Raw genomic sequence first — 24,088 nt, forward strand, 5'->3', positions numbered from 1 at the left:
CTTCCTGATGCTCTCTTTCCCCTTGAAACCCTGACAGACCCCAGTGTGTGTTGCTCCCCTGAATGTGCCCATGTGTTCTCATAGGAGAACTAAGTGTTTTAACAGCTCTCTTCTCTTTCAGCTTGTGGATCCACTTATTTGTTTATTGGCAAAATATTGTACATATTCGTGGTGCACAATATGATGTTTTGAAATATGCATATATTGTGCAAAGGCTATATCTGGCTATTTAATACCCAGACTACTCATACTTATCTTTTTTTGTGTGGCGAGAACACTTAAAATCTGCTCTCTTAGCAATTTTCAAGTATACAATACAATGTTATTAACTATAGCCACCATGATGTAAAATAGATGTCTCAAACTCATTCCTCCTATTTAGCTCAAATTTTATATCTTTTGACCAACATCTCCCCAATCCCTCCCACTACCCAACTCCCGGTCTCTGGTAACTATCATTCTACTCTTTGCCTCTGTGAGTTCATCTTGTTTAGAGTCTGCATGTAAATGAGATCATGTGGTATGTATTTGTCTTTCTTTGTCTTTCAGTGCCTGGTTTATTTCATGTAACATCATGTCCTCCAGGTTCAACTGTGTTGCAAATGATAGAATTTCCTTCTTTTTTAAGGCTCTATAGTAAATAGTATTCCAGTGTATACATATCATGGTTTCTTTTTCTATTCACCTGTTGATGGACACTTAGGTTGATTCCTAGCCTGTAGGTCTCAAGAGAAGAATGTTTTATTACTGCTGAATCCTCATGGAGCCTACTCTATTGCCTGGTCTTGGTCTCACCTTTGACTTCACCTCCTCTGAAAGTTTGTTCCGGTTTTTCCAAATAGAGATAGATGATCCTCTGATGTACCTGCTAGGTCCTTTTTAAATGTCTTTACCAATAGGCTGTAGGCTTCTCGAAGGCAAAACTATCTTTTTTAGAGTTGAATACATATTAACTGAGGCACATGGCAAATACCAAAACACATACATACACACACACACACAAAACAAAACAAAACAAAACAAAACAAAAAAACAGCAGCAGAAGAAAAAATAATCTGGGAATTGATTAAGACCAGTCTTTCTCCCCGACTGCCAGACTCCATTGCCTTGGTCTCTATACCCATACCCATCACCATGGTTCCCCTTGAATAAAGTCTACCTTACCATCTTTTTTTTTTTAAAAGAAATAATTAACTGGATTAAATATATTTGCACTTGGTGAAACAGAATGTTGGATTTGAGATGCTGCTATGTATTTCAGATGTAAAATAATCTCCCTTTGCAATACACGCAAGAGAATAAAGTTTGGTTCAAGTCTAGATGATATTGGTTATCCTGAGGAATGCTATAAATTCATTTAATTGGAATGTGGACTTGGGAATACCTAAACTTATTGATTTACCAATACTTATACTTTGCATGTGTCAAAATACCATTTTATAAATGGGAAAGTTAACTAAAGTATGGACAAAAGGAGGTTCATCCAGCATCTCAGAGCCAAGGCTAGGGCAATGTTTCTTACTTACTAGTTATACTCTTCACAAGGCACCAAACCACTTCTGGAACATAATCAGGCAGCTCTGTTGCACCTTGTGTGGTGTGGCCTTCCAAGGCCTTCCCAACGTATCTTCTCAGGAAAACACTGGTCTTGTCTCTCTTGCACAAAGGGTTGAATCTAGACTCTAGACTCTAGATCACCACTGTTTGTATAGGACAGACAAGGCCAGAGTCTCTAATAAAATCTAGACATTAAAAGGCCTTCATTGAGGTAGATTTATGTCATCAGGGTCACTACTGATGACTGAGCACTGTGATTGTCCAAGAGGCTAGTAGGGGAATGACATTCAAGTGTCCTCTATCAGTTAGGCCATGGATCCTGACACATTGCTGTGTTTGCCTGGGAAAGGGTACATATTTTTCTAATCATCACAAGGGCACTCTATAGATAAGAGCAGGCTGTAGATACAGCAACTTAAGACAGAAATTTGCTGGCTTCTTAGGAATAGCAGCTGGACAGGGCAAGCAGACAAATCCTAAATCAGCTGCTTTTGGAGGTCTGGTGTCAAAAAGCTAGCACTGTCCTGAGTGTCAGGATAGCTGGCCTCGATTCCTGTCAGTAACACTAGCTCATTGCATGGTCCTGATTCAATACCCTCCGTTTTCCCTGCTTCTTGTTCTTATTCTTTCTCTCCTCTTGGTTTGTTCCTCATAGCTTCAGGTCTCAGCTAAAATGTCTTGTCTTTGGTGAAAACTTCTATGACTCTCTAATCCAATTCAGATCCCTATGTGATTAAGTTTTCTACACTCTGTATTCTTTCTTCTCAGCACTTAATTTTTGATGATTTAATGTCTCTCTTTCCAAGGAATGTTAACATCTCAAAGGGAAGCATTCTGATCAGTCTTGTTCAGGGAGATGGCTTTGCTGTCTAGGATAGTGCTTTGTTTGTAAAAGATACCCAACAAATATGCATTGAATCAATGAGCTAATAAACAATTCTGAGAAGAGGAACCAGGTTCTTTTGGTTATTATCTGTGTGACTCTGGCAAATGACAGGTACCCTGTGGGTCTCAGTTTCTACATCTGTAAAGGGACATAATATAAATTTCTGCCTATATATCAGCACCATTGTAAGAATATAGGAGATAAAAATGAAACACCTGATAACTGTAAAGAGCCCTTAATGTTGGCCGTATAAATAACAGTTAAAAAGCTGTGATTTATCTTCCATTGCCATAAACAAGTGAATTTGCTTTAGGTTAGATGAGAAACTGAGATTATGAAAGAGGGTTTTATCCAAGCTGGGAAGAAAAAGAGAACCTTCTTCTACAACACTATTCTAGCTTGGGAAGAAGGTATAGGAATGAAGGAAATAAGAAATGTTTTAATTCCTACAGACTTTTCCAGACTTAATTAAAAATCATCTGAGTGGTTTTTTTTCTCAAGGTAGAAAAGAATTACAATTTGGGTTGGCAATCTCATGGAGAGATTTCAATGTATGCATTAGTGTTAAAAGCACAGGTTTTGGGATCACACAGAACTGAGTTTGAATTTCAGATTTGCCCCTTACGAGCTGTGTGACACTGTAACCTTAAGATATTTTTAATTTCTCTGTGCTTTGGATCCAGTGTCCATAAAATAGGAATAATGATACCTCTTGGTGTTGTTATAAAGATTAGATAAGAAAATTTGTAAAACTAGCACAGTGCCTTGCAAATACTAAGTGAAAAATAAATAATAAACTTGTCTATTCTATTCTATTCTATTCTATTCTATTCTATTCTATTCTATTCTATTCTATTCTATTCTATTCTACATTGAGTTGTCTTAGAGGAGGGAGAGAGACATTTTAGGACCACCACCACCACCACCACCACCACCACCACCACCACCACCACCACCACTAATAATAATAATAATAGGCTGCCTCCTCTGGTCAGGTGCTGAATTAGATACAATGTATCAATACAATTGTTGAGAGGCTACCATTTCCTCATTTTATACAAGGAAATTTAAGCTTAGAGGAGTTTTCCCAAGGTTACAAATTATATACGAGCCAGAGCAGGGAATTGGACACACGAACGTGTGATTCCAATGTTCCTGCTTTCAGCTATTCTGTTAAGTTGCACTGGCATATGCTCATGGTTGCTACTGGCAAAATGCCTGGGCCAAGCGAGGAACACCATGTTACCAACCTGTTTGCCCACAGATTCATCTGTGCCAACTCTGCTTTTTTTCATTAGCCTCTGAATAAAGTTCTGGCCTATTTCATTCACTATATTTTTGCTCAGTTTGATATAGCAAACATGCAGTTTACACGGTGTCTTTTTTATCCTCGGCAGAAATAGGACTGGAGATAGGGCTGTAGGATAAAATACATGATGCCCAATTAAATGTGAATTTCAGATAACAATGAGGAATTTTTTAGGATAAATATATACCAAATATTTCACAGGAATTCTTATACTAAAAAATTATTTGTTGTTTAGCTGAAATTAATTTTTTCTTACATTTTTAGCTGAAATTTAAATGTAACCGGGCATCTGGTACTTTTATTTGTGAATCTACCTGGAGAAGCCCTCATAATTCTTCTCTTATTAAAAAACCCGTGATCAGGGAGTGCAGAATAGGACTGAGAGAGGTTACATAAAGGATTAAAGAATAGTATGTGAGAAGTTGAAATCAAATGAGGAAACTAGAAGTCATTAAAGGGCTCTAGTTCCTCTTTAACATCACATCTGGAATATGTTTCCTCCTTGAAAGCCTCATAAAGAAATCATAAAACCCTCTCTTGTTCTTGGTTCATTCCAGCTAAAGTTTCAGACTAGTCTTGGAAGGGATGCATGTGGCTTCAGCTAGGGGTGCCATTCCCATGGTGTCTACATGCTAAGGAGTGGTCACACTCTTTGTTACCCTAATCACCTTCCTCTATGTAGCTTATACATTAGTCAATCTTCATGCCATAGATCCATTTAACAGTTACTTTTTCAGTGAACATTTATTTATTGAGCTTATACTATTTGCCAGGTACTCTGCCAGACACTGGGGACAAGAAAATACAAAACAACAGTCCCTGACCTACCTTTGTTGAGGAGGCAAACACGTAACCAAATAATTGCAATTTAAATATGAGAAATGCTAATGGAGTTGTGAACAGATTCCTATAGAAGACTAACAGGGAGTGGTTAACGTTGCCTGCGGGAGGGGGTCACAGACAAATCATTGTTTGGGCCTTGAAAAGTGATTGTGTAGGTGTTTACTATGCAACCAAGGTGTGGAGAAGACACCTCAGGTAGGAGGAATGACATCTGTGAAGACACAGAAGCATGGAAGAGCATTGCATATTTCTAGGAATGAACCTCAAATTCTTCAGTGTTATTAGAAGTGAAGATTGAAGTGAAATAACTTAATCTCAAAATTTGTTTTAATTAATGAGCATGTTGGAAGGAAAAAAATGGAGGGGAAAGAGAAGAGAGAAGGAACAGAATGTTTGGGAGTGGAGAGTAAAAAATCATTAAGTATTTAAACTCTTAGCTAGGAATTTTTTCTCTCTTCCTGTTCCCTAATTAGAATTTCAGATAAGGACATTGCCATGCATCAAATTATGTTAGAAATGTGAATTTTCTTTACCTTTTATTATCACAGAACCGATTTTCTCACAAAGTGCTATCAATTTTCCTCTTAAATATCCTTAAAATTTATCAACTTCTTTCACGTCCACAATAAGAGTCACAGTTTGGGGCTTCGTCTTGACTCTTGCAGTAACAATCTAAAGTCTCTCTGATGTTTGCCTCTCCCCATTCCAGGCTGTCTTCCACATTGCTGCCATTTTTATCACTCTATAACATAATTATGTTTACATCCTCTGTCATTTCTCTAATAATTTCTGTGGCTCCTGATTGCATATAAATAAGGCCTTTCATACTTCTTTCACAATCAATATCTCTAACTTCACTTTAGGAGTAGTATAATTTTAATGCATGAGTTCTAGAGTCAGGTAGCCTGCATTCAATTTCTGACTTCACCAGGGCTGGTATTTACTGGGCATGTACTGGGATGCTCATATCCAGTCTACTAGGCTGGGTTGGTGTTTGCACCCTAGTTGTTGAATAATTTAATATCTTCTCAGCTGCTAACAATGTGATTTGGCAGTTAGCTTATACTCTCTAAACTTTAGTTCTCTATCTTCAATATAAAGATAATAAAAGTATCAGTCCCAAAAATTTTAATAAATCTGAAATAAAATATTAATGAAATAAATAAATTATAAATGAAGTCATGCTATACAAAGTTTAGCATCATGTATGTTTAACAAATGCTGACTATTTGCATTATCGCCTCCCACCACTCTCTAACCATGTTACCTCCTGTTTTACCTTACCAGGCATGCTCCAGAACTTGACTTATTTTATCACTCTACTTGTTCTGCTTGAACCAATTCATCCCCACCAATTCATCCTTCAAACATTAAATCCTTCGGAAAGACATTGTAACCACAACCCTGACTTAATCCATGGTACAATTAATCACTTTTCCTGTGTGCTCACTGTGCACACATCTCTATTATATTAAATCATGAGTTATTGTTTATATATCTGCCACTGCCATTAAGTTACGAAAGCATTCTTTGCATCATTTCAATTTTGTTAAATTTGTTAAGGTTGGTTGAATGACTCCATAAAGTCTATCCTGATTAATGTTTCCTCTGCACATACTAAAATTTATATTTAAGTTGGAGTATTTTATAAAAGTTAATTAGGTCATTTTTCATTAATTGTGATAATCAGATTTTCTTTATCTTTACTGATTTTCTATCTGTTTATTCTATCAATCACTGAGAGACTAGTTTTGAAGTCTCCAACTAGAATTTTAAATTTGTATACTTCTCTTTTCTTGTCTGTCAAATTTTACTTTGTAGATTTGAGAATCTATTGTTACTTGCTTATACATATAGGATTGTTATGTTTTCTTAGTTAATTGACTCCTTTCTGATTATGCAGTGTTCCTTTTTTTTTGTTTGTTTGGTTTTTTTTTTTTGTTGTTGGAGATGGAGTCTCACTTTGTCACCCACGCTGGAGTGGAGGGCTATGGCGCGATCTAGGCTCATTGCAACCTCCACCCCCGGGGTTCAAGCAATTCTCCTGCCTCAGCCTCCCGAGTAGCTGGGACTACAGGCGCACCCCGCCACGCCTGGCTACTTTTTTGTATTTTAGTAGACAGTGGCTAAGTTTTTGTATTTTAGTAGAGACGATCTAATTTTTCGTATTTTAGTAGAGACGGGATTTCACCGTGTTGCCGATGCTGGTCTTGAACTCCTGAGCTCAGGCAATCCGCCCGCCTCTGCCTCCCAAAGTGCTAGGATTACAAACATGAGCCGCCGTGCCCTGCCGCAATGTTCTTTTTTATCTCTGATAGTATTCTTTGTTCTGAATACTATCTGTTCTCATGTTAATATAACCATTCCAAGTTTTTTGTGTGTGTTTAATGATAAATCTTTTTGAATTCACTTACTCTCATCTATGTTTTTATATTTAAAGTGGATTTTTTTGTAAACAGCATAATCTATCTCTGTTTTATAATTAATGTGATTAGATTGCTTACATTAATGTAATTATTAATATAATTGCTTTTAAATCTACAATGTTGCTAGATGTTTTATTTTCCATCTTTTGGCCTACTTTTGGATTAACTGACTGTTTGTTTACAGATCTGTGTTACCTCTATTATTGACTCAGTAGATAAACCTACTTTAATTGATCACAGTTACTCTTCGATTTATAGTTTTCGATTTATAGTTTGACAATTTATAGCTTTCATGTCAATTATGTATTTATTACCTCATTTGGTCCCACAAAAACCTTGTAATTTAGCTATTATTATACACTTATCTGGCATAGATAAATTATGCATAATTGGCATAGAAATATTTACACTATTAATTTGGTACTATGGCCTTCTTAATTTAGGTGGGAGTCACTATTTCCATGTAATTAATTTATAATTTTGTAAAATGTTCCCTTCACTCCATCCTATGTACCAAAGTGAGGCATGACATAGTACCTGTTTTGAAATGTTGCCTCCACCCTCAGCCATGGCTCCAGCTGCTAGAAAAACAAAAGCCACTGGACTCTTAACTGCCTTCCTTGTTTACATCTGATTCCTTGGCTTGAGATTTGGCTATTGTTCCAGTGGGGCTCTGGAATCACCTCTGCCACTGACATTTTATATAAAACAAATCATACAATATGTGGCTTTTTGCGTCCAGCTTCTTTTATTTATCATGTTTTCAAGGTTCTTCTGCGTAATAGTATGTATCAGTACTTCATTCTTTATTACTGCTAAATAATATTCCAGTGTATAGATATACCACATTTTATTTATCTATTCATCTGTTGATAAACACTTGGTTTGTTCTACTACTATTTGGCTATTATGAATAATGCTACTGTGAACATTCCTGGATAAGTGTATGAATGAACATATATTTTCATTTTTCATGGGTATACACATAGGAATGGAATTGCTGGGTCATATGATAACTCGTTTTAAACTTGTGAGAAACTTCCAGACTCTTCAAAGCATCTACACTATTTCACATTCCCACTAGCAATTTAAGAGAATTCCAGTTTCTCCATATTATAACCTACCCTTGTTATTGCATCCTTTTTATTCTAGTCATCATAGTAGGTATGGAGTGGTATATAATTTTGCTTTTGATGTGCTTTTCCCTAATGGCTAATGATATTGATCATACTTCATTGAGCTTATTGGCCCAATCATTTTGGGAGGCCAACATTACCCTGAGGCCAAAATCAGAATGAGAAATGACAAGACAATTACAAATTAATATCCCTCAGAAACATAAAAATAAAAATCCCCCCAAAAGTACTAGCAAATCAACTAAGTAGGGTTTATATCTGAAATGCGAATCTTATTCAACATTTGAAAAATCAATAAATTCAATTTATCATATGGTCAGATTAAAGATGAAAAAGCATATAATCATTTCAATAGATACAGAAAAGTCATTTGACAAGATTCAGTATCTATTATATAATATACATATATAGTTATATACATATATATAAAATAGTATGTCTTTATGCATATACCTCTCAGAAGACTAGCAATAGAAGGGAAATTCCTCTACTTGATAAGGAACATCTATAAAACACTCATGCTTAAAGATTTTAACATCACTCTTAATGATGAAAGATTAATGCATTCCTCTTGGATCAAGCACAAGACACAAATATCCTCTCTCCCTATTCCTTTTTGATGTTGAAGGGAAGGTCCTTACTAGTGCAATAATGGAAGAAAAAGAAGTAAGAGGATGGAAAAGGGAGAGGTAAAACTGTCTGTATTTACAGAAGGCGTGACTGGCTATGTGGAAAATCTCAAAGAATCTACAAAAATGCTATTAGAAATAATAAGTGCATTTAACAAGTTTGAAGGATACATGGTTAACCTACAAAAATCAATTGCATTTCTACATACTTGCACAGAACAATTGGAAATTGGAATTAAAATGCGCCTTTTCTAATAACACCAAAACCATAAAATTCTTAGATATATGTCTAACAAAATAACTACAAATTATGTTTGCTTATAACTATACAGTTCTGTTAAAAGAAGTAAAAAATGACCCCTAAATAAATGAAGATATTTATTGTATTCATGAATTAGAAGATGTTGACTCTTCCTAATGTGATCTATAGATTCAACAGAGATCTAATCATAATTCTAGCATGATTTTGTATAAAAACAAGCAAACTAATTTTAATATTAAACGGAAAGGCAAATAACTAGAATAACAAAAAAAATGAAAACAATAAAACCATGTAGAACGAAGTCTGAGGCACCACTCAAACTATTATCAAGGCTTCCATAAAGCTCAATGATTAAGACAGTATTATATTGGAGAAAGGCTAGGCATATTGATGGAACAGAAGGCAGTCCAGAAATATACTTACATTTGTATGGTCAATTGCTTTGCAATGAAGGTGCACAGGTCAACCAATGAAGAAAAGATAACGCTTTCGATACATAATGGGAAGCAATTGGACAAAAAGAAATAAGGAATAAATGTTGATCTATATATTGTTATATAAAAAGTAACTCAAAATGGGTCACAGTCCTAAATGTAAAAACTTATACTCTAAAATTTCTTGAAAAAAATATAGAGGGAAAAATTTGTATCCTTGGATTAGATAAAGGTTTCTTAGACATAATACCAAAAACATGATTGTCACAGACAGAAATACACTGTTAAACAGCAAAGATAAACCACAGATTAGGAAAAAACTCTATATCTGTTAAAAGATTTGGAACCAGTATACATAAATTATGGTTTCAAAACTAAGTAATATGAAAACAACCCAATTTAAACAAAAGGCACAAAATATTTGAATAGAAATTCAGAGTAGACATGTGGAGGACAAGTATATGAAAAGATAATCTGCACCATTTGACATTAGAGAAATGAAAATCAAAACCATAATGAGATATTGCTACCCACCTATCTAAAACTAAAACATTAAAAACAAAATTTAAAAAGCTAAAAGAACAAAAACAAAATAAAAAAATAGCAAGTGCTAAAGAGTATATAGAGAAACTAAAACTCTCATACCTTGTTGGTGGGAATGTAACATAAGAAAATAGTTTGGCAGTATGTATACTTATTGTATAACCATATAAGTATTTACCCAGCAATCTCACTCTTAGATATATACTAAAGTGAAATCAATACTTACATTTACACAAAAACCACAGATGAATGTTTATAGTGGCTGTAATAGCCCTAAACATAAGCTCTAGTACGTCCACATAATAAGATATTACTCAGCACCATTAGGAATGAATCACTAATCTGTGCAACACCAAGAATGAATTTCAAAGTATTATTCCAAGTGGTAGGAGCCAGACTCAAAATGCTGTAACTGTATAATTCTAATTTCATTCATACAATGTTTTCAAAAAGCAAAACTGTAGCAACAAAAAGCAGAACTTTGGTGGTTAGGGGCTGAGCAGGGAGGGGAAGGCTTACTACAAATGAGCACAAAGGAATTCTTTTGGATGGTGGACATTTTGTGTCGTGAGTATATAGTCTGGTGACAAAATTGTTTGTGTTTGACAAAACTCACAGAACTTACTTTAAAGGGTAAATTTAAACTGTATGTAAAATATACCTTGATGTTTAGCTATGTGTAAATTATACCCTAATAAAGGAAAAAACATATTTATAATAGCCTTGTTGATGGTGGTGGTAGTGATTAGACTACATGTGAAGCGGTAGTTATGTTTACATGCCATCTCTGCAGTGAACGTTCTGCGTAATCTTGAATACCTCTTTTCCCCCTTGCTACGTCCAAGTTTCTTCATTTTCCAATGATAAATTTGGATGGGATGATGACTAGAGTTTCTTCTGGCACTGGCATTCTGTGAAGACTGAAGAGGTGATTTCTGAGGTTGCTTTTATGTTCCCTCAATCTTTGAAACCTATGCTTTTGTTGAGATCTGGGCTGGGCCCACATTCTGAGACATTTCCATACATGACAGGTAGGTGTGTGTTTGTGCATGAGGATGGCTAGAGGTAATCAGGCCACCACCCTTTATCTTTCTCATGCCTCCTTCACCAAGCTGTTTATGACTAATCTCTGAACAGCTGCCATCAACAGCAACCCAGAGCCCGAAGATGAATTTAAAAAAACAAAAACCCCAAACATCTTGTACACTATCAGGTATCCTGTTGTGTCTCTTGATTGAACAGCTCAATAGAGTATAACAAAAATAATTCCCATTCGTAATGCCTGCTCCCAGGTGGGAACTCACGCATTCTTTACAATTACCCTACCCACAAATGTAGGTCATTGTGGATGTAATTATCCTCATTTTGCAAATTATTAAAAAGAAAAAAAACTAACAGCAGCAAAGACACAATAAAACAAAGGCGTGAACATTTTAATTCACTACCCTATTGTCAATCTACTAGTAAGTGGCAGAGCTAGGACTTAAACTCACTGCTATCTGATACTAAAACCATTAATAAAAATGCGTCTAACAGGGTTCCAGTCTGAAAAATGAGAACCCGGTTACTGTTCATATACTTATTTATCTATTCCTTAATTTATGCATTTATCGACAGATATTTTGTAACTGCAAAGTGTCAGGAAATATACTGTGCACAAGAGATATAACAGGAGATTGGATAGGCACTATCCCTGCCACCGTGGAACCTACATTTTAGTCAGGGGGAGCGAAAAAATTCAGCAGGGAATTATGCTTCAGCATCGTAATTGCTACAATAGAATATTGTGGGCAGATAAAGGAAGACCAAAGAAATCTCCCAGAGGAAAGTTATCTATGCTGAGATGTGAGAGATAAGTAGGTGTTAGGCAAAGATTTACAGGTAGGAAAAAGCATGACAATAAATGAGAAACTTAAGTAGTTCAGTAGGACAGGGACTTGAAGTAAAGTGTCACGGAACAGGATAAAAAAAAACTGAAAAATATCTAGGGCTTGACTCATCCAGAATTCTGAGAAGTTTTTAAAATGGCTGGGACTTTTTCTAACAGCAATATGCAAGGGTTTTAAATAGAGAAGTGACATGATCAGATTTTATTTTCCAGTTTCTTTAATTGGTAGTAGAAAATGAGAGTGAACCAACACTGAAGGCAAAGAGACCATTTAGGAAATCATTATTATCATTATAATCACATTGTTATAATAATGACCATAATGATAGTGCTTGGAGATGGGGTTGGAGCCAGTGGTAATGTAACCAAGTGGATGGACTTGAGCAGTAAGTTTTTGTAACTTTATTAGCCCTAATGCTGCAATCTTGACATATATTTTGTAATATACCTTCCATTCTATTAAAATTAGTAGATAAAATATCCTACTAACACATAATTTCAGAAGTCCATAAAAAATTAAAAATAAAACAAGAATTAAAATAAATAATATAATATGTATTTTAATACAGGTAATAAATAAATAAATGTATAATATAGTATGTATCTTAATAATATAATATGTATTTTAATATAATATGTATTTTAATATGTATTTTAATTTAATAATATAATATGTATTTTAATATGTATTTAATATTTAAATATAATCTTATTTTAAAATAAGAATTAAAATAAATAATAATATAATATGTATTTTAATATAATAATATAATATGTAATTTAATATAGTATGTATTTTAATTTCCACCAGGAAATTAAGTCCTCCATAGAATTACAAAGTGCCTCCCTGAAGCATTGCCATTTCAATAGAGAACTACGAGATTTGAATGACATTCAGTCAGTCCCATTGACAGGTGTCAGTGATGACTGGATTTGTTGTGTGAGGCCCAGGGAGATGTCAAGTATGTTTCTGTCTTTGGTGGCCGTGTGGTTGTGGTATATTACTCAGCGTTGTGGATACCCAGTGAAGAGAGCTGGGGACAAGGGAAAGATCATGGGTTCCGTATTGGACAGGTTGAATTTAAAGTGATTCTGAGACATTTACATTGGAGATGATTGGCAATTAAGAATTTTGTATGAGTAAATATAAACCTTAAGCCCAGAAGGGAAGACTTTACTTGAGAGATGGATTCGGGGTCATCATTTTACAAATGGAGGAAAAAAAAAAGCCATAGAGCAGATGAGACTCTCCAGGGATAGTGGGTAGAATTAGAAGAGTACTTAGGTAGGTGCTTGAGGACCACACATAGCAAGAAAGCCCTGCAGGAGAAATTTCAAAACGGCTACTCAAGAGAAAAAAGAAAAAAGAGGATACTTGGATCCCATAGAAATGAAGGAAAGAGAGAGTTTATGAAAAGAGGAACTGTTCTGCTGTGTTGGCTACTGCTTAGAGATCTAGGAAGATAAGGTTTGGGTTGCTTTACTCATCTAGAAACAAGGAAGTCTTTAGTCACCTACAGGAAAATTGTCAGTGTAACGGTGGGATCAGCCTCATTACATTGGTGCCTGGAGGTAGCAGAAGGCAAGGAAATAGATTCCATCAGGTTCCACATCTCTCCAAGGTCTTGCATATCTGTGAAACATGTGTGTTGATGTCCCCTGTCCACTTCAAATGAGGTACATTTGAAGTACCTCAAATGTAAAGAACTTCAACATAAAGCAGAATAAAATACATCTGTAATGCTGGCGTACGTAGGAGAAAGGGAGAAATCATACTCTGCTTTTGCTAATTCTTCTGCTTCCATCGTAACTGTCCTCTTAAACTCATCTCTGAATGTTGTAAAACTACTCCAAACTTAAAGTTCTCATGTTATTGGGAAGGCTAAAAGCCCACAGTTGTAATCGTTCTCAAAAATGTTTTCCACCGGGTCTGTGGCTCATGCCCGTATCCAAGTAATTTGGGAGGCGGAGGCGGGTGGATCACCTGAGATCAAGAGATTGAGACCAGCCTGGCCAACATAGTGAAGCCCCGTATCTACTAAAAATACAAAAATTAGCTGGGCGTGGTGGCAGGTGCCTGTAATCCCAGCTACTCGGGAGGCTGAGACAGGAGAATCGCTTGAACCCGGGAGGCGGAGGTTGCTGTGAGCTGAGATCGTGCCATTGCATTCCACCAGCCTGGGCGACAAGAGTGAAACTCTGTCTCAAAAAAAAAAAATTAAAAAAAAAAGATGTTTTCGTTTACTTTGCTTACTTTGCTGCAGCGTGGAGAACCCTACTCGCTTTCTCTGCGAAATCACCAAGGCAGCTGGGAGCCTGAACACATGTCCTGAAAACCGGAGGGCGGGTGTATGATGAGCAGGCCCTCATTCTGCTTGGTAATGCGGGGCTCAGATTCGCGTCCTCTACGCTCACTTTTACTTTGGCCAAACCAACTGTACCCCTGAATTTCCTTCCCACAAGGTTCTAGCATTTAAGGGTGATGATGGATTCTCTGTGTGGGAGAGCAATGCTATTGCCACCTATGTGAGCAATGAGGAGCTGTGGGGAAGTGCTCCAGAGGCAGCAGCCCAGGCTGTGCAGTGGGTGAACTTTGCTGATGATAGCCAGTACCAGGGTGTTCCCACCTTGGGCAAAATGCACCATGACAAACAGGCCACCCAGGATGCAGGGGAAGAGGTGAGGTGAAGTCTGGGGCTGCTAGATGCTCACTTGAAGATGAAGACTTTTTCTGGTGGGTGAGTGAGTGACATTGGCTGACATCATAGTTATCTGCACCTTGTTGTGACTCTATAAGCAGGTAGGTTCTAGAGCCTTCTTTCTACCAGGCCATTCCCATTATCAACTGCTGGTTCCTCACCTACATTTACCAGCCCCAGTTCCAGGCTGTCTTGGGTGGAAATGAAACTGTGTGAGAACATGGCCCACTTTGATGCTAAAATATTTGCAGAGAGCCAGCCTAAAAAGGACACTCCACGGAAAGAGAAAGGTTCACGGGAAGAGAAGCAGAAGCCCCAGGCTGAGCGGAAGGAGGAGAAAAAGGTGGCCACCCCTGCTCCTTAAGCGGAGATGAAGGAATGTGAGCAGCCCAAGAACACCTTTGAGTTGGATGAATTTAAGCACAAGTACTCCATCGAGGACACACTCTGAGGCAATGACATGTTTTGGAGAGCACTTTGATAAAGACGGCTGGTCCCTGAGGTACTCTGAGTATCGCTTCCCTGAAGAACTCACCAGACCTTCATGAGTTGCAGTCTCATCACTGGAATGTTCCAGCGATTGGACGAGCTGAAGAACATGTCTTTGCTAGTGTCATCCTCTTTAGAGTCAACAATAGCAGCTCCATTTCTTGAGTCTGGGTCTTCCAAGGCCAGGAGCTTGCCTTTCTGCTGAGTCCAGATTGGCAGATGGACTCCGAGTCATATAAAAGGCAGAAACTGGATCCTGGAAGCAAAGAGGCCCAGACACTGGTTGGAGAGTACTTTTCCTGGGAGGGGGTCTTCAAGCATTTGGGCAAAGCCTTCAGTCAGCACAAGATCTCCAAGAGAATATTTTTTTTTACCATTGCCAAGCAGCCTGCACTTGCCCTTCACGAAGATGGGAATCATTAAAGGAAACTGAACATTGACAATAAAAAGATGTTTTCGTTCAACGGCTCATCAGCTATTTAGAACCCCATTCTATTGTTTCCCTGAGTGTAATCCAGATTTTGTTTTCACACTTCCAAAGGTGAGTGGTTCACGAGGGCAACTTACCAGGTGCTAGATAGCATGGACTCTGAAATCAGACGAAAGTTGGTTTGGATGCTGCCTCTGCCAAATCTTTGACTGTGATATCTTGGACAAGGAATTTAAGCTAAGAGTCTTTTTTTTTTTTTTAATGTGAAATGGGAATTATAACACCTAGCTCTCAGACCTGTTAAAAGACTCACATATGATGATGCATGTAAACAGAAAATAGCATAGCCTTTGGCACAGAGAATATGTTAACATATAATAGATCTAAAATTTTTCCATTTTTAATTGAAAAAAGTACAATTAAAAAAGAATTATTTAATTGAAAAAGCATTCTTTTCAATTACAAGATTCTTTTCTAATTGAGAAGAATTTTAATTTAATTTTCAAGTAAAAAACAATTATTTTTAATTAAAGAAGAATTCTGTAATTAAACAAGAATTCTTTTTCAATTAAAAAAGAATTTTTAATTAAAAATACAAGAAAGATTCTACCAGTCTTTGATTGCTGAAATATTTCTTAATCGTTTTGGCTGAAAGTGTCTTTCTGTAATTCCCAAGCATTGGCCTTAGTTATTGCTCTTGGACCTGGCCAATAAGTGTAATCTATTTTCCCATTATAGCTCTCCAATCATTAAATCTTCTCCCCTCCACGGTAAGCATCTCAATTTCTTCAAACTTTCCTTAAAGAGCATGCTTTTAAGACCCCTCTCTATCATTGTTGCTACTTTTTTGAATTCACTCCAAGGTGTCCCTATTCATCCAGAATGGAGAAGGTGGAATTTGATCTGATAGTTGAAGGATTATTGGATTTTATGGAATATATTCAGAGACTTTAGTCTGTTTGTGGATCATCTGAGGTCAGGAGTTTGAGATCAGCCTGGCCAACATAGTGAAACCCCCTCTCCACAAAAATACAAAAATTAGCTGGGCGCCGTGGTGCTTGCCTGTAATTCCAGCTACTCGGTAAGCTGAGGCAGGAGAACCACTTGAACCCAGAAAGCAGAGGTTGCAGTGAGCTGAGATCATGCACTCCAGCCTGGGAGACAGGGCGAGAATCATCTCAAAAAAAAATCAATTATATTCATTTGACAGCAAAGTCTCCTCAATGTGTTTGGAGTGGGTGTGAGACATGATCAGATGGTCATTTTGGTGCATTATTCATATGGTGGGTGTAAGGGAAAAGAGAGAGAAATAAGGGAATCGTTCATGTGTATTAATTGAGAATCAATATTAATAGTAGTGTGACTTGGAGAAAGGTACAGATTTGAGGTCTACGTTAGCTATTTACAGGAATTATTTTAACTTTCCCTATTTCCTAGAATATCAGATATGAATATACTTGTCCACTTTTCTCCTTTTAAAACAAATGCTTATTAAATGTCAATTTTTTTAAAAACAGAGCATTGTTTATACATGCCAGGACTTTAGTCTGTTTGTGTTGTTACAAAGGAATACCTGAGGCTGTAATTAAAAAGGAAAGAAGTTTATTTGGCTCGCAGCTTTGCAGGCTGTACAAGAAGCATGACACCAGCATCTGCTTCCAGTGAGGGCCTTAGGAAGCTTCCACTCATGCGGGAAGGTGCAGGGGAGCAAGTATCACATGGTGAGAGAGGAGGGAGAGGAGGAGGAGCCAGGCTCCTTTTAACAGTCAAATCTCACAGAAATGAATAGAGCAAGAACTCCTTCATTATCGTGAGGACAGTTCATGACAGATCTGCCTCCATGACCCAAACACCTTCTACCAGGCCCCATCTCCAACATTAAGGATCAAATTTCAACATGAGATTTGAAGGGGACAAATACGCAACTAGATCATGCAAGGAATTTAAAAAAATCAAAAATAAAACATTAGGGATGTTTATAGTTTGGGACAATGTGATTTTAAAAAAGCTTCATAGAACATGGGGCATTTGAACTTTACTTATAAGGATGGTTATATATTATGTATTTAATTAATTATGCATTTATTTAATTATGTATTAATTACACATTAATTAATTATGTATTTCTTTTGTCTTATTTGACAAAAGAAAAGAAGACATTCCAAGTGGAAAAAACAAGGTGAGCAAAGGCAGGTGGAAAGACTAGGTTACAGTCAGGGAAAATTTTATTAGTTTACAGTTGTATTGTCTAATACTATAGCCACTAGCCATATATGAGCACTTAAAATTAGTTAAATCAAATTAAAAATTCATTTCCACAGCCACACTAGTCACATTCCAAGTGCTAGTAAGTTGTATATAGCTAATCGCTAGTATACTGAACAGCACAGCTATAGAACATTTTCATCATTACAGAAAGTTCGATTGAGTAGTGCTGGGCTAAAGAATGATGCTGCGTATAGAGAGTAAGAAATTATCAGATTTACACACACACACACACACACACACACACACACCAGATTTGGAGTCTGAATTTTATTGTGTTGGTGTATCAACATCTGTTTTGGTTAAAAGAAACAAAATGTAACTTAAACTGGCTTAAACAACAAATGGAGTTTATTAGCTCAATTATCTGAAAAGTCCAGAAATAACCTCAGCTTCAGAAATAGCTGCTTCAGAGTTTCTGCTGAGCTTTTATTTGATTTTCTCTTGTCTTTTTTCTTCTATGTATTGGCTTTATTCTCAGGCTGGCTTTCCAATATAGAAAAACAGCTGAAGTAGTTCTAGGTCTCAAGCTCCCAAATGACATTGTCTTTGTTTTATGTTGCTATAACAAACTACCTGAGACTGGGTAATTTATAAAGAACAGAAATGTGTTGGCTCGCAGTTCTGGAGGCTGGGAAGTCCAAGACTGAAGGATTGCACCTAGAGAGGCTCTTCCTCTTGCACCATCACATGGTGGGAGGTATTGTGTGGGTGAGAGAAAGAAAGAGAGAAAATGAGAGAGACAGAGAGAGCGCCAAACTCACTTTTATAACAAATCCAGTCTTCTGATAATAAACCCACTCCTGTGATAACAACATTAATCTATTTATAAGGAAAGAGCCTTCATGACCTAATCACCTCTTAAAGGTCTCACCCCTCAACACTGTTGCATTGGGGTTTAAGCTTCCAACACTTGAACTTTGGGGGACACATTCAAACCACAGCGCACATGATTCAGAAGAAAAGAGCTGCTCTTCTTCTTCTTTTTTTTTTTTTCTTTTTTTTGACGGAGTTTTGTTCTTCTTGCCCAGGCTGGAGTGCAATGGCACAGTCTCGGCTCACTGAAAACTCTGTCTACCGGGTTCAAGCAATTCTCTTGCCTTAGCCTCCCAAGTAGCTGGGATTACAGGTGCCCACCATCATGCCCAGCTAAGTTTTTTTATATTTTTACTAGAGATGGGGTTTCACCATGTTGGCGAGGCTGGTCTTGAACTCCTGACCTCAGCTGATCCACCCGCCTCAGCCTCCCAAAGTGCTCTTCTTCTTGATCTTGACCACAGGAAAATAAATTCCTGCACCTTTTTGAACTTGCCCCATTTATGTCCCTGCCCACTCCTGCACTGTTTTGCTATGGCCAAGGGAGTGTCATGTACTGACTGATGCCTGACACAATCAGCGTGGCATGAGAGATAGGATAATGTAGATGGGCTTAGGCTGGTCTGGGTCAATCTTTGAGGTGAGGGTGGAGTCAGTTCTACCCATAAGCCATCTGGGTGCCACCCAGCCTGGGTGGGGTTAAATGGGGCTCTTTTTAAAAAGCAATTCCTGTTGCAATTCCCAATACGAAATCATTATGTAATTTTATTTTTTTAAATAACAAATCTTTATTTGACTTGATTAGGTTTGAAAAACTTTAAACTGTAATACAGATAAAACAGAGAAGAGATACAGCAAAGAATAACCAGAATTGCCTTTTTTTATAAAAAGTGTTATGATTTTATTTAAAACATAAATTCACAGAAGATAATTAAGTTCAAAACTTTAAGGAACGATTTCTAAGGCACTTAACACACAATATACATACTGCTATAAAAAGAATATTAAAATCCATGCACCACATAGTCAAATAAAATCTTCATTATCTTATTGCTACTCTCTAAACTACTCTTGTGACAAAACAAATGAACAAATAAACAAATTGTAAGTTATTAAAAACATTACCAAGCAAACAAACAAACAAAAAGCCTTCAAACTAGAGATCTTAGAGTCAGCTGTGAAAATGATCAACTTGTCATGAAAAAAATGGTTTGACACATTATGAATGAAATGAACCACATTAAACCTGTGTAAAATTAGTCATGTCTTAATTGATGGCTAATCAGCACTAACAAAAAAAGGAGAAAAGCTAAAATTCCGTATAAATATATATGGAACTTGACAATGATCTCAATGAACATTTTCTCCCTATAAAATATTATCACTAACATATTAATAAATCTTATTTTGCATAATGACAATATGAAAATAGTAGAACACATACTTCCCATAAAAAGTGACATGTTACTTTCTACAGAAATAACCATTAACGACCATCCTATTGCAAAACTAGCAAGATCAGGAAGTCTGGTTTTAGAATGATCTTGTTATCTCTTTCGCTCTCTTATGCCTAACGTCTTTTTTCCTCTTTTTCCCTCAAAAGTATTCTGTTTATCTTCCACTCTTTCTCTGTCAACATAGCTATCATAATATTTATTCTAAAATTATTCTTTCTTTGAAAATGAGCAGCCTATTTCCTGTTTTCCCTTTTCCAATTCTGAGCTTGCTCTCTTGTCCTCATTCTCCTCTTCCTCTTCCTCAAATTTTCTGGGTGGACCAGCTCATCTTCCACATCATCTTTATTATCATTATTTTCATACTCATCCTCTTCCTCTTCTGAGTTGGCATTCATTAGCTTTCTTACCAAATCCCTCTAAATATGTTTTGCTGCATCAGTTGAAAAATATACTTTCTCTAAGAATGTTTAGGACTGCTAAATAAGTCAAGGTTTTGCAGAACTCTACTAAACTGAGCTTTCTAAGTTTTGGTTTCATTCCAAATGAAATCGTTAGAATTTTGGCATTTCTTTGCCAGGACTTCTAAGTCTCCAGAAATAGCATTGTTTCTAAGAAAACCAGTCAAAGAAGGACTTATGCTTCAGCCATACATAGAAACACTGGTTCTTTGAAAAGATCATTCCTCCCTTCAATTTCTCCATGGATGACTGGCAACTATTAATGACCAGTTTGGTCACTCAGGCTTTTCACGACTCCCTCCTCCTCTGTTACCACTAGTCTCATTTTTCCCCTTCCTCCTTCTTGTACTAATTCTAATATCAAAATTTAAAAAAAAATAGAAAATGAATGAAAAGGGAAACAAATATACCACTCACCTCCAACGAAAAGATGTGTAAGATAAAGAACAAAATAGCCAACGGAGTTCAAATAGGTGGAATGTTAACTTGGCCTCCCTTTTCTCTTCATCCGTAAACATCCATAGCTCCTTTCCCTTCGATGGCTGTTCAGAGACTTGCATTATTTTAAAAATATATAATGTGATCAGAACTGTAATTCTGGAATATTATTTGGATGGTGGTGTGTGTAAATTGCACCAGAGAGGAAAAAACCAAGAAGCAGGGAATTAATTATGAAAGTATTCTATTAACCCAGGCAAGAAAAAAGGTGGATTAAACATGATTTTTTTTTCTCAGTGGAAAGTAAGCAGAGGATAAAATTCCTGGCAGTGTTATTAAGCTAAAATTTGTTAGACCTGTCTTGGAATCTAGGTGATCGGCAGGGAAATTATAGTGACTTTACCATGAAAAGGGAGCACAGAAGGAAGATTAGAGGAATGATGGTAAATTTTGGTTGGGCACTTATCGAAATTGAGGGGCATCTTCAGCGTTTAGGTAGTTTTCCCACAGGTAGATGGCAAAATGGAACTGAAAGAATGGAGTTGAGAGTGGATCCCCAAAGATAGAAAGGCTTGAACAGGCAAAAACAAAAAAATGTTGATAGAGTACCATAAAAAACTGTTATGTATAAGAAGAGGTACTTAGCAGTGAATCTGAGAAGAAACAGTAAGGTAACTTGCAGGAGAATTCTGAGAGTTAATTATCTGGAGTTTGAGAGAGGAGTGAATTTAAGGTGGTAAAGCATGTCTATTTGGGGGGAGAAAAGAGTGAGAGGGTTTTGTGATTATTCTATAAGCACTTGCAAAGGGTTTAACCTCCCAAATAAAAAGACGTATTTCTTTTCCACAGATAAGAGATAAGAGTTCTAGATGAAATATATAGGCACGGAGTAGAAAAAAACACCTTCCATCCCTACTTTTTTTTCTTATTGTTTTTTTCCACTCCAGATAAAAGAGAAAGTTGAAATCAGCTTGGTGTGGTCTCCACAGAGAGTCAAATACCTCAGCTAGCTTCAGTTTGCACTTCCAGAACCACCGTCCACCTTTGTTTACCCTGCTTGTGACCCATTGAGGCTTACTTAGTTGAATTATGTCAAGGGGCTTCCTTGCCTCCTGTTTTCCTGTTGGGTTTGGACAAGGGTGAACACTGTTGGACCATCACAGGGCAGTAGTAAAGTGTTATTGAGTATTTTCCTTCCGGTTTTCTCCATGCTGCTTCATTGCGTGTTGACTCTGTCCCACTGTGGTGTCTTGTCTACAGTAGGGACCAATGGGATTGGGGTCTGGTTTTAGCTCAGTGTTGTGATGTAAGCATTAATAAACCACCTATGCATAAGCACTTTGTAATACCCAGGCTCCATATTTCCAGTTTGACTGCCTAAGTTTCCCTTTAAACCTCTGACATTCTGTGAGTGTGGATAGTGCTTTGCTGTTCAGTACAATCTGTGAAACAGCAGGATCTACTTTTCCTAGCAAGTTGTTAGAAATGTAGAATTATAGACCTTACTCCAAATCTACTGAATTGGAATCTACATTCTCAAAAGATACCCAGATGATTTATATGTATTTTAGGACTTGGGAAATACTGAGATAGTATACAATTATAGTTAAAGAGTATGGAGTTTAGGGTCAGAGTGACCTGGTTATGAGTTTTGACTCTTCTACTATTTACTAGCTCTATGAACTTGTGACAAGTTGTTGACTTTTTTGAATCTCAAGGTCTAACCTGAAAATAATAACCCTAGGGATGTTGTGAAGAGTCAGTAAGACAATGCGACAATGCGATTCTTATTGTTGTGCAGCACTTATTCATTAAATACTTATAGTTAAAGCAAGTAAGAAGGAGGCCATTAGCCTGAGATTGTCTCTGTAATAGGAACTCCAACATAGGCAAACCAAAACTCAATTAAATGTAAACGGTAAAACACAAGTTAAGTTTAACCAATTAGAAACCTCCAGCTAACCTCTAGCTTGGGACTCTCCACTGCAACACACCCCAGTAAAGCAAATGCCTAGCTGTAGCCTATCAAGTAACTTCCTTATTTTGCTTTCATGGTCTAAAAAAGCTTGCTACTCCCACTGCAGCGAGGGGCTGTCTGAACTTCTGGTTCTGTTTTCCTTTTGACTTTCCTGCTTGATTCATGAATCATTCTTTGCTTAAATAAATTCTGTTAAATTTTTGCCTAAGGTTTTTCTTTTAACATTATGGATACCTTCAATGTTCCAGACACTGTGCTGGGTGCTCAGCAGTCAACAACACAGACAGTCCCTGGCCTCATGAAGCTTAGGTTGTTTTCAAGTCCTATGGACCAAAGTTATGCTTTGGTCCTGGAACAAGGAAGCATGATGCAGTAGATAGATCATTGACCTCAAGGGTGAAAATACATAGATTGCAACCCTCCTTCTTTTAAAGGCATACTGAAGGGCCTTAAACAAGTCATTTCAGCTTTCTGAACCTTGTCTGAAAATGGGATCTTAAGAATATTGGACTACATGAGCATATTCCAAACTGTGTTTCATAGAACACTAAACTTATGAGCTTCTCCATGGAGGAGATAAGAAAGACACGTGGCCAAATAAGTTTGGGAACTTATTTCCTTATAAGGAAATCACAAGTAAAACATCTCTTTAACTTGAAGTAATTTTGCATTTCTGACACTCATTATTGACAGACTTTCTTTCCTCCTTTCCTTCTTCTTTCTCTCTCTCTCCTTCCCTCCTTTCTTCTTGCCTTTCCTCCCTTCTTTCCTTCCTTTTTCTTTCTTTCTGTTGCAGTAATTTGGGAAGATGTTAGACCGTTTCCCTAAGGCCATTTATGGATATGATAGTTTGAGGATCTATTTTAGTCAGGAGGGAAGGAGAATTTTGTCAAGGGCAGTTCTCCATAGCCATTGGTCAAGATGACCCCATGGTTGTCAGATTTCCCAAAAGAAAGCACCAAGGGTTAATTGAAGGGCAAGAAGGGATTTGGAGCATAGTCTTTAAGAGTTGTTTGACATTGAGCAAGTCTCTGGCCTCCCAATTTCTGAGTCTGGAAGAGGGTGTGGGGTCAGTCTGGTGGCTCTGCCATGGTCTGGGAGGCTAAGGGTGTGTCTGAGCTGTATAAAAATCTAATTTTGGAAAT

The 24,088-nt window shown here is 37.0% G+C and overlaps 1 pseudogene; it reads left to right on the top strand.

The window, feature by feature from the left end:
- Nucleotides 14,166–15,000, top strand: EEF1GP2 (eukaryotic translation elongation factor 1 gamma pseudogene 2; annotated as a pseudogene).

This window comes from Homo sapiens, chromosome 5 (assembly GCF_000001405.40).
Source record: "Homo sapiens chromosome 5, GRCh38.p14 Primary Assembly".
NCBI classification, from domain to species: Eukaryota; Metazoa; Chordata; class Mammalia; order Primates; family Hominidae; genus Homo; species Homo sapiens.